Source organism: Homo sapiens, assembly GCF_000001405.40.
Source record: "Homo sapiens chromosome 14 unlocalized genomic scaffold, GRCh38.p14 Primary Assembly HSCHR14_CTG5_UNLOCALIZED".
Taxonomy (NCBI): domain Eukaryota; kingdom Metazoa; phylum Chordata; class Mammalia; order Primates; family Hominidae; genus Homo; species Homo sapiens.
In genome coordinates, this window is record NT_187378.1 from 4,182 (window position 1) to 17,120 (window position 12,939).

General features: G+C 40.7%; 1 pseudogene; it reads left to right on the plus strand.

Annotated features, from left to right (window-relative positions):
- Window positions 1-1,593: 1,593 nt before the first annotated feature.
- Window positions 1,594-4,137, plus strand: LOC102724937 (angiogenic factor with G patch and FHA domains 1-like; annotated as a pseudogene).
- Window positions 4,138-12,939: the final 8,802 nt, after the last annotated feature.

Below are 12,939 nucleotides of genomic sequence, written 5' to 3' on the forward strand. Positions count from 1 at the left end.
AAAATTTTAATGCCATTTTATTAAAAATGTAGAACAACAATTTTAAAATTAGTATGGAACCACAAAAGACCTCAAATAGCCAAATACTGAGAAGAACAAAAAGGCTGAAAGCCTTTCACTTCCTGATTTCAAACTATATTACAAAGCTGTAGTCATCAATATAGTATAGTACCTACATAAAAACCAATAGAACAGAATAGAGGACCCAGAAATAAACTCACAAATATACAGTCAACCAATCCCAGAGAATGGAGAAAGGATAAACACATCAAGGAGTGGTGTAGGAAAAACTAGATATGCACAGAAAAAAGTGAACCTTTCTCTCATGTCATCACAAAATGAATTTGAAATGAAATAAAGACTTAAACATAAGAACTGAAATCATGAATCCTCTTAAAAAAATGGGGAAAAACCTTGACACTGGTCATGGCAATGATGTTTTGGATATGACACCAAGAACACAGTCAACAAAAGCAAAAATGAACAAGTGGAACTATGTCAAAGTTAAAACTTTCTGCACAACAAAGGAAACAATCAGCAAAATATAGGAAATGGGAGAAAATATTTGTAAACCATATATAGGGTAATATGTTACTATCCAAAATATACATCATACTAATCAATACAAAAAACCCACAGCAGAATTAAAAGCAATTTCTTGATTAATAATTGGGCAAAATATATAAATAGCAATTTTTCCAAAGATATACAAATGGCCAACAGGTATATAAAAAATGCTCGACATCACTAATTTTCAGAGTAATTAAAAACAAAATCACAATGAGGTATCACCTTATCGTGGTGTTTGGATGCCTATTATCAAAAAGTCAAAAGATAAAAAGTGTTAGGGTGTGGAAAAAGAGAACACTTGTGCACTGTTGCTGAGGATGTCAATTGGTGCAGCTATTATGAAAAACAGTATGGAGATTCCTTAAAATTTTTAAACTAGAACTACCACTAATCCCAATTAGGAGTATATAGCCAAAGTACATAAAATCAGGATCATCAAGGGTATCTGCACTCCTCTGATACAGATAAACTGAGACATACATAATTTCAGCTTTAATAAAAATGAAACTCATCCACAACAATATTGATTAATCTTGAAGACATTATGCTAAGTGAAATAAGCCGAATACAGAAAGACAACTACTGCATGATCTCGTTTGTATGTAAAATCTAAAAAAGTAAATAAAAATTTAAAAAAAGCCATGGAAACCGTAGAACTGTGCTTCCCATGGGCTAGGAAGTGGGGAAAGTGGGGAGATATCCATGGAAGGGGCACACCTTCAGTTACAAGGTGAGTAACTGCTGGGGACCTAATGTACAGAATAGTGACTATAGTTAACAATACTCCGTACTTGAAATTTGCTACAAGAGTAGATCTCAGGTGCTCTCACCACACACACAGGAACGTATTAACTATGTGAGGGGATAGATAGGCTAACTAGCTTAACTGAGGTAATTTAAAGACTACTGACATCTCAAAACACTCTATTGTACACCCTAAAAATATACGCTTTTCAATTAGTCAATCATAGCTCAACGAATGGAGAAAAAAATAAGAGTAACCAGCAGGTCATAGCTAGCCACATGGAAACTCAATTTAAAACACACTTGGCCACTGTTTCCAGCTCAACTCGGGAACGGCCGGAGCACTTCTGGCCCCTGGACTTCGACGCTCCTCCTGCGGCCCCCGTGGCTGGGGAAGGTACAGTCGTTCCCAGGATTCCAGGCACGCAGATCCGGCAGGGCCATCACCGTTCCCTTGCTCTTGCCGCAGCCCCGTTAGGCTCTGCGTTTCGGGGCCTCCTGGCCGGGGAGGCTGCCTGTGGCTGCCCGCGCGCCCCTGTGGCTCCGCCGGCGCCCGCTTCGGCCCCACGCAGCCCCTCCAAGGCCGCAGCCGTCTGGCGCCCGAACTCGCGGCCTCTGCCCGTACCCGCCGCCAGCGCCTTCGCTGTGACCGCTCCTCCCCCTCCCTGAGCCCGAGCTGGCCCAGCGGAGAAGGAGGGCAGAGAAGCTGGAACCCGAACGCTGAGCTGCAGGCGGCAGGTGCGGGAACAGGAGAAGCTATGGCCTCGCACAGGACGGCTGCTCAGAGCGACACGAGCAACCACCAGGAGCTCTGCACGCAGCTGGAAGAAAAGCTCAGTAATGTACTCTGCTGTGAGAGAAATGGAGATAATAAAAGTCTGATGTAGAAGTACTCACAGAGAACCATGCTCCTTGGTCAATCTCAGATTATTATCAGATCTACTGTAATGATGTTAGTCTTCCAAATAAAGTGAGTGACTGAACTGTCAAATCAGCAAGATCAGGATATTGAAAGTCCTGCTTTGAATTCTAACGACAAGTTATAAATAAAAAATGATGCTCACCCTGGTACTGATAGGACAGCAAATGTTAAGTGTAGACAGGGTCATTTGCCACAAATTCACAGGAGCCAGCATCTGCATTAGCAGCACAAGATACGTCCTTAGAAGTTTCGTCATTAGCTGAAAGTTTGAGAGCTGCAGCAGAAGCGGCTTTATCACAGACTGGATTTAGTTATGATGAAAATACTGGACTGTATTTTGACCACAGCACTGGTTTTTATTAAGATTCTGAGAATCAAATATATTATCATTTAATTTATTACTACTGTGATGTGGAAAGTGGTCGCTATCGATTTCATTCTCGAGTAGATTTGCAACCTTATCAGACTTATAGCACAAAACAAAAATGAAAAATTGAGAAAAGAAAGGATCCAGATTCTTCTACAAAAAAACAATGAGGAAAAGGATTTGAATTCAGAGGATCAAGAAGCCTTCAGTGTTGAACATACAAGCTGCAACGGGAAAGACAATTTCACAAATGTGAAAAAAAAAAGCCAAAATAGGCATTCATCACAAAAATAATCCCCAAAATTCACTGTTCCAGTTAGTGGAAATCCTATGGAATCTCCTCTTAATGAAAACAGCTCAATTCATCTTTAAGGATGAGAAAATCACAGAGACTGCTAGTGAACCAGAAGAAGGTGAAATTACGGACTCTCAGACTGAGGGTAGTTATGATGAAGGCATTACCAGTAAAGGCAATGCAACTGCAAAAGATACTGCGGAGGAAGATGAGGAAAAATTGTGGCCCTCATATACGAGAGTAATTGTCATGAGATCACTTGTGTTACAGACAGGATCATTCTTCATCATTACTGTTGTAAAACCTGCTACAATTGGAAGAGAAAATGATATGAAGAATACTCTTCGAATCCCTGAAGTTGGTGTAAGTTTCATGCAGAAATCTGTTTTGACCATGACTTACAAAGTTATGTCCTTTTGGATCAGGCAGTCAAAATGGAACACTTGTTAATGGAAAATGGATTGTTCAGCTGAAAACTAAATGTGACCATTATGAACCTGAGCATGGAGATAAAGTGAAAGTTGGAGACACTGTGTTATCTTATTACTTTCACCCTGGCAGTAATAGCTGTGTTGGATGTGAACCAGGGCAGGTTAGAGCTCACCTTTTCCTTGATAAGAAAGATGAATCATTTGTTGGTCCATCATTAACTAAGAAGGAAACGAGTTGGAAAGAAGAAAAGGATTTTAAAAATATACGAGTAAAATATGGTTTACAGAATACAGATTACAAAGATGATAAAATACTGGAGAATCAAAAATATAAAGATAGAGCTGGAAAACATAGGGAGCAGATTGGAAGTGAAGGAAATTTCCAAAGAGATGATGCTCCTGAATCTGTTCATTCTGAAATTACTGATAGCGACAAAGGTCAGAAGATGTTGAAAAAGATGTGTTGAAAACAGGAGAAGGCCTGGGGAGGGATGGTGGGAGAATAAAATCTCCAATACAGCTTCAGCTTTGGCAAACACATGCAGGATTGGAGACAGACAAACCATCCTCAATTAAAGAGACTCACCTTCTCCAAAACAAGAACAACAACAACTGGGACAAAGCTCAGGAGAGGTTTGCTGAAAACTTTCCAGAAACTAAACTTCCAAAAGATGACCTAGGAACCATTCCTTGGGTAAAAGGGACTGAGGAGTGAAGGTTAATCACAGAAGAAAACTCAAGCTTTTTTTATAAATAGAGTTTGGAGACTCTTATTTTATTGCAGAATGTTTCTCCCCAAAAAAGTCAGTGGCATAAGAAAGCTGGGTCACAGTTTACCCCTTCCTGATTCAGAAATGTGTAATAAAATGTGGTTTGCAGCTTTAAAAAAACACTTTTTAAACTAATTATTAGTGACTGAATTAAGTTATACAGTAAGTGAACTAAAGTTCACAGGGTACAGATAAGTTTATCAAACTTTACTATTTTATCTGGTCATTTACAACATCCATATAAGCAATTAGCCATATAAGCAAAATTCATATAACCACTTAAATGCTCATTTGTCCTTGTCTCCATATATTCATAGTAGTATGCACAGAAAATACAGCAAAAGAAACATCTAAAATCTATAAAAATAAATCTGACAATGTACATTCTTTTTTATGTCCTTCAGGACCTAGATAAAAAATGTTGAGACAACATGAATAGTGATGCATACATTTTCTTATATTTGGGATAGCCTAAATCATATTAAAGAACTAATGAACAGGTGACATGTCACAGAAAATTCATCTTTTATTGTTTTCTTTGGTGAAGAATCTGCATTTGTTGATATATACTGTACATTCAGCATTTGTATTTGGTTTGTTTCATAGCTAATGAAATGTTTATACATGAAAAAATGAGTACAGTATTGAAATAGTCCATGTGCTGGCATTCATACTTTTTATAAATACCATTGCAGGCAATGAAGTTGTGCCAGAAAAATCTGATTTTGTGTACAAAAGGAATACTTAGCCAGGGCCTCGAGCTCAATATATTTATTGAAAATGTCCTAAATTGCCATAAAACATTATAACCTTAAATTACTCATTTCAATAAATTATGAATTAAACAAAAAATACAAATGATGTCTTTTATGGATCAGAGAAGTACTAATGGGGCAGAATGGCCATTGAAGCCAAAAGGTCTGAATTCAGGTAGATAATTTTACTCATATTAGTTTTATGTTAGAGAAAACAATACTTCTAACCATATACTATTTATTGCAGTGGAGTATTTCAAAAATATGTACATAATATATAATTAATTTTCTAATGGTATAAAAGTAATCACACTCTACAAATTATTACAATATGGTCTATTGATGAGAGGGGTGTTTCAAATGAAAAAAACTTGGAATTTCTCATGGTGATAGATGCCATAGAAAATCTATGTAAAATATTTCACTCATATATGCAATTATTGATATTTCTGCTTTTCAGAAAAATAATATACTTTAAACACTTAATGCAGACAATTAAAATCACCAAGAAGTTACAAGAATTCACAGAATGCCCAATATAGTTGAAAGGAAATTAAGAAAACCTCCCAGGACTGGAAGTAAATAAAGGTAATGATCCAGAGAAGTAATCAACCTAAGAGGCCAGGGCACCACTCAGACGCATCTGATTACAAGAAAGTCAAGTCCATGTGGGTTGTTCCCTTCTGACAAGGCAAATGAAATAAACAAAGAGAAACTGCCTGCAGGCATTGGAATGCGGTGTCTCCCATATATGAGGATTAAATTATAAATTATGTTGCACACAAGGAGATGAGCTACTGGGGTGAAGCATCAGAAGAAATTATATGGCACATAAATCTCAGATATTGAATTTATATTTAAATGTTTAAGTCAATATAATGGAAAAACAAGAAACCAAAATAATGTGGAAAGAAACTACGAGCTTGTCAAGCTATCTTTGGAAACGAGGCAAATGAAAAGTAAAGTATTGAAAGTGTTGTAAAAGAATTTAATGTACAACATACAAATTACATATTAAAATAGGCTGAGCCAAAAAGAGGGCTGTAAAGTGAAATGCTGATCACAATTAATGTAGTCATATATGTTATAGAAGGCAAATTAATAGAAAATATAAATATATTTATATATGAAGATTAGATTGAGAAGAAATAAAAAGCATTTAATTGTTTTACCAGACTCTCTAAATAGGAAGGCAACAAAGAATCAGTGACTCGTAAGTTTCAGAAATTGGAAACCAGACATGAAACCTTTAAAAGCTTAGGGTGTAATATATGAAAAAAAGGTAAATTAAGAAATACTTAGAAGAAATAGTGGTTTGGGTTATTTTGAATACTGCTTAATAAACATGAGAGTGCAGTTCTCTTTTTTGACGTGCTTAATTTGTTTCCTTTTGATATAAACCCAGCAATGAGATTGCTGGATCATATGGTAGTTCTATTTATAATTTATTGAAAAACCTCCATACTGTTCTCCCTATAGAAATGGGAAATGATTGTACTAACTTACATTCCTACCAACAGTGTATAAGTGCCCATCTACAGAATGAATAAAGAAAATGTTATACACACACACACACACACACACACACAGGAATAATGTTCAGTCATAAAACAGAATGAAGTTCTGTCATTTTTGTCAACATGGATGAGCCTAGAGGACATTATGTTAAGTGGAATAAGCCAGGCACAGAAAGAAAAAGACCACGTGCTTTCACTCACGTGAAATCTGAAGAAGTCCATGTCATAGAAGTAGACAGTAGGATGGTGGTTACCAGAGGTTAGTGATGGCAGAAGGATGAGGGAGTGGGGAGAGCTTTGTCACTGGGTTACAAAGTTACAGTTAGGAAGAATAAATCCTGGTGTTCTATTACACAGCACGATGACTATAGCTAATAATAATGTACCTTTTATTCTATAATAGCTTGAAGTGAGGATTTTGAACTTTATTAGCACAAGGAAATAAATGTTTGAAGTGTTAAATATGCTAATTACTCTGGTTGGATCACTGTACAGTGTATGTGGTACAGTGTGATGAAGTGAAACATCATATAATTAACATAATTGTCCACGTTTGTGGAGTACAATGTGATGTTTCACTGCATCTCACTGTACCGTGTAGTATGATGCAGCGAGACATCACGTAATTAACACATGATAGTTACATATGTTTACGGAGTACAATGTGATGTTTCACTGCATCTCACTGTACCGTGTACTATGATGCAGTGAAGCATCACGTAATTAACACATGATAGTTACATATGTTTATGGAGTACAATGTGATGTTTCACTGCATCTCACTGTACCTTGTAGTATGATGCAGTGAAGCATCACGTAATTAACACATGATAGTTACATATGTTTATGGAGTACACTGTGATGTTTCACTGCATCTCACTGTACCGTGTAGTACGATGCAGTGAAGCATCACATAATTAACACATGATAGTTACATATGTTTACAGAGTACAATGTGATGTTTCACTGCCTCTCACTGTACCGTGTAGTATGATGCAGTGAAGCATCACGTAATTAACACATGATAGTTATATATGTTTACGGAGTATGGTGTGATGTTACACTGCATCTCAGTGTACCGTGTAGTATGATGCAGTGGAACATCATATAATTAACATGTAATATAATACATGTTTACAGAGTACAATGTGATGTTTCACTGCATCACACTGTACCATATAGTATGACGCAGTGAAACATCACACTGTGCCCCATAAATATTACTGGTTCAGCAGGGAACTGTGGGACACAGAGCAGCTCCAGGTTAGCCATGACCAGCAGCTTCACCTGTGTGGGGTAGCAAGAGGGGAAGGGCCCTGTGCTTGGCTGAGAGTTGACCCCTGACCCCATCCACTTTGACTGCTAGGTGCCAGCAGAGGTCAGAGACCCCTAACTTCAGGCAGAGGCAGGAAGCAACGTCATTGCCTCTTTTTTTTGGGGGGGGGGAGAATCTCACTCTATCGCCCAGGCTGGAGTGCAGTGGTGCGATCTCGGCTCACTGCAATGTACATAGAGGTGTACGTCAGAATCACACCTGCAGGAAGCTCCCTGGGTGAGATTAACAATCCCACATAGAAGTGTACGTCAGAATCACACCTGCAGGAAGGTCTCTGGGTGAGATTAACAATCCCACGTAAGTGCCAGTTCTGGGTATGAGAGTCAAGGCCTCCTGTATGTTGGGTCCATGTACATAAGTCACAATCTCAATGGTGGAATGGATTTTTCCATGAGAGGCTTAATGCCTTTCGAAAATTGAGTTATCTTAGTGGAGTCACAGCCTCACAAGTGTTTTGGATCTTGTTCAGGGATTCACAAACCCACTTGTGGACAACATCCACTTATGAGAGCCAACTTTCCAACTTTTGACTGCCTCTGGGTGTGAGATTCAGAACCTCAATTATGGGTTGTGTCCATGTGGGAGAATGACAATTTTTACTGATGGCTGGGCTCAGGAAGGAGCCTTTCATCCTGCAGGTGTTGAGATAAATGATATGTCACAATACCCAAAATATGCCGGTGCAGGCAAAAGAGGAGAGTCATATTAGCTGGTTGCTAGGTCCAGTTATATTTCACCACCTCTGTTTTTGGCAGGGCTAAGGCAGAAGAGGAGAGTCAGAGCTAAAGAAATGTCACAATGTCCCTGTGGGTAGGGCTTATGCGTAAGAATTGCATCATCTAGTCATTGAACCCAGCCATATATTACAATACACAATGTATACAGGGCCCAGGCAAGAAATGAGAGCATATCACATAGGTACTGGGTCCAGGAATGTGTCACAATACCCCCTGAGGGGAGGCTCCAGGCAACAGGGTAACATTACCTAAGTGAAGTGCGCAGAGAGATGTTTCAATGCCCCTGGTGAGTAGGATTTTGAAAAAGGAGAAGTTACATAACCTAGGGGACAGGCCTAGCTGTGTGTCACATTCATCTCCAAGATGGAGCCCAGACATGAGAGAAAAGTCACATCATGTAGGTACTGGGCAAAGTAATATGTCATAATCCTTACTGTGAGCAGGCCCTAGGAAGAACTAGAGAGTCACATAGTCTAGATGATGGGCCCAGAGGTATTTGACAATGACTCCTGTAGGTAGGGACCATGCAGAAGAATCACTTCACCTGTGTGCTGTGCCCAGTTATAAGTCACACTTCCCTTTGTGGGCATGACTGAGGCAGGGAGAAGAGTCACATCATCCCGGTGCTTGGCCCAAAGATATGTCACAATCTCTCTTATAGGCATTGCTCATGTAAGAGAGGAGAGTCACATCAAATAGGTAGTGGACACAGAGGTATGTCACAAGGCCTTCTGTGAACTTGATCCAGGCAGAAGATTCACATCAACTTGGTGCTAAGCCCAGCAACATGTCACAATCTCTTCTGTGTAAAGGGACCAGACAGGAAAAGAGAATCACATTACCTGGCCAGTGAGCACAGAGATCTGTCACAATGCCCCTTGCAGTCAGGGCCCAGGCAGAGGAGTTACATCACCTGGGTAGTGGACCCAGCAATATACCACAGTGTCCCATATAGGCACAAGCTGGAGAGTCACATAACCTGGGTGCCAGGCCATGCTATATAGAACAATGCTTCCTGTGGGCAGGCTAAGGTGGAAGAGGAGACTCACATCACCTGGGTGCACGGTCTAGCAATATGTCAAAATGCTCACTGTGGGCAGTGCCAAGGAAGGAGAATACAGTTGCACCCTCAAGGCGGTGGATCCAGCAATATGTTAATATCCCATCTGTGGGCTGGGTCCATGCAAGAGCGTCAAGTCACTCAGGTGCTAGGCACTGGGAAATTTCATCATGAAACCTGCAGAATGGTCCGGGAATAAGATTAACAATCCCACAACTGTCACAGTTGTAGGCATGACATTCAACACCTCTTGTATGTTGGGTCTAAGCCCACAAGTAACCATCTCAACACCAGACTGGATTTGTGCATGAGAGCCTCAATTCCTCTGCAGACTGTGTCACCTTAGTGAAGTCACAGCCTCACAGTTGTGCTGAACCTTGGTCTGAGAGTCACCAACCCATGGATATATATGGACATATATATCCATATATAAGTCAATTTTTCCCACCTTTGGCTGACTACAGGTGTGAGATTCAGCACCTCAACAGTGACCTGTGTTCCTGTGAGAGGATGAGAATATTTACTGTTGGCTGGGTGTGCATATGAGTTCCACAGTCTCACCTGTGTGCTCGACCCAGTTAGCACTCTCTGTGTACTACCCAATGGCGCTATACAGTATGAATGACAGTTGCAATCAACTTTGAGACCTTCCTGCTGGTAGGGACCCATGATCATAGCTGTGGCATTAAGCCCGGGTATGAGAGTCAACGTCATTACAATTAACTAGGTCAGGATAGGGGAGTCCTCCCTTGCCTATAAGCTGCGTTTATAAATGAGCCACCATTTCATCTCTGGTTGAATATTTATACGTGAACACGGGCCTAGCACCAAGAAGATGTGAGTCTTTGGCCTAGCAGGAGGCAACGTGACATATCTCTCTGCCTAACAACTATTTGATGTGAACTGCTTTTTCACCTGAGGTTTTCCCATAAAAGAGACGTGATATATGTCTAGACCCAGAACCTAGGTGATGTGGCTTTCCTTTTTTGACTAAGCCCTGTGTATTTTGGGTATTCTGACATATCCCTGCACCTAACATCTGGAAGATAAGAAGATCCAGCATGGGCCCTGCCTAAAAAGTTTTTGTGACATATTTCTACATTAGTACCTTGGAGATGTGACTCTCCTCTCTTTCCTGGGCTTTGCCCATAAGAGATATTGTTATGTACCTCTGCAGCAAGCACCTAAATGCTGTGACTCTTCTTTCTTGCCTGGGTCGTTCCCACAGATGAAAGCTTGGTTTATCGCTGTATCCAGCACAACTGTTATGTGATTATTCTGCCTGATCTCTGCTCACAGGAGCCATTGTGACATATCCCTGGGCCATAAACTAATATGACTCTCCTCTATCCCCTTAACTTTGTGCATAGGATAAATTGTGATGTATCTCTGGGTCCAGCACCTAGGTGATGTGACTCCTTTTCTGCATGGACTATGCCCACAGGAAGGAGGCTGATTTATTGCTGTGTTGAGAGCTGATGTAATACCTCGGTCCTTGTCTTCTTAGTTTATAATAGTTTAAACAAGAGACACACAGAAAAGAAGTACAGCATAATTTATTGGAAAAGAAAACAAATTTGAAAGTTAAGTGCAGAATACAGTACACCATGAGAGAGATATTCCAGGGCGGGCTGCTCATAAGAGTGAGACAGCGTGGATTGTCGCTGGAGAAACCCCCTTATGGGAGTTTTATATTATTATTAATAATGAGGGGGGAAGAGGAGCTGCTAGTAAGCCTGTTCTGAGTGGTCTTCTGGGTGCACATGTGCAGTAGTTGTACATGCTTACTCATATTTTGCATGTCTCATTAGCATCTTAGACCTCTAGCCAGGAGTGTATTTTTGTTTGTTTGCTTGAGACAGAGTCTCGCTCTGTTGCCCAGGCTGAAGTGTGGTGGTGCAATCTCTGCTCACTGCAACCTCTCCCTCCCAAGTTCAAGCCATTCTCGTGCCTCAGCCTCCTGAGTAGCTGGGATTACAGGCATGCACCACCATACCTGGCTAATTTTTGTATTTTTAGTTGAGATGGGCTTTCACTATGTTGGCCAGTCTAATCTTGAGCTTCTGGTTTCAAGTGATCCATTCTTCTCAGCCTCCCAAAGTGCTGGGAGTACAGGTGTGAGCCACCGTGCCCAGCTGGGGGGTGTACTTTTGCTATTAAAATAAGCAAAAGTTAAGTTTGAGGACAGGTAAAATCAAAATGCACATGCTCTCTAGAACAGAAAGTTCTTAATGAAGATAGCTTTGCTTGAATGAGCCCAATTACAATGCGAATGCTAAGGCTCATTGTCTTGGCTGTACAGTTACCACAGTTTCAATGAAGGGTTGGCCTGCCCCTCCACACCTGTGGGTGTTTCTCATCAGGTGGAATGAGAGACTGAGAAAAGAAAGAGACACAGAGACAAAGTATAGAGAAAGAAAAGTGAGCCCAGGGGACTGGCGCTCAGCATACAGAGGACCCACGCTGGCACTGGTCTGAGATCCCTCAGTATTTATTGATCACTATTTCTACCATCTTGGAGAGGGGGATGTGGCAGGACAATAGGGTAATAGTGGGGAGAGGGTCAGCAGGAAAACATGTGAACAAATGTCTCTGTGTCATAAACAAAGTTAGAAAAGGTGCTGTGCCTTGATGTGCATGTATACAAACATCTCGGTGCATTAAAAACAGTATTGCCATCAGCATGTCTCAACTCCAGCCCTAAGGCAGTTTTCTCCTATCTCAGTAAATAGAACATACAATCAGGTGTTACAGCGAGATATTCCATTGCCCAAGGATGAGCAGGAGACAGATGCCTTCCTCTTATCTCAGCTGCAAATAGGCCTTCTTCTTTTACTAATCCTCCTCAGCACAGACCCTTTATGGGTGTCGGGCTGGGGGATGGTCAAGTCTCGACCTTCCCAGGAGGCCATATTTCAGACTATCACATGGGGAGAAACCTTGGACAATACCTGGCTTTCCTAGGCACAGGTCCCTGCGGCCTTCCACAGTGTATTGTGTCCCTGGGTACTTGAGATTAGAGAGTGGTGATGAATTTTAACAAGCATACTGCCTTCAAGCACTTTTTTAACAAAGCACATTCTGCATAGCCCTAAATCCATTAAACCTTGAGTTGACACAGCACAAGTCTCTGTGAGCACAGGTTTGGGGCTAGGGTTACAGATTAACAGCATCTCAAGGCAGAAGAATTTTTCTTACTAGAGAGCAAAATGGAGTCTCTTATGTCTACTTCTTTCTACATAGACACAGTAACAGTCTGATCTCTCTTTCTTTTCCCCACATTTCTGTATCCAGAGATCATGGTCATTTTCTTGACTACCTATTCTGATCTATTCTGCCTCAGTTTCCCCCTAAGAGATCTTAGGGTCATAATCATATTGGAGGTTGAGGGGCTAGGTCACTTTTTCTGGAGCTGTTTCCTGCTGAGTGGGTGTT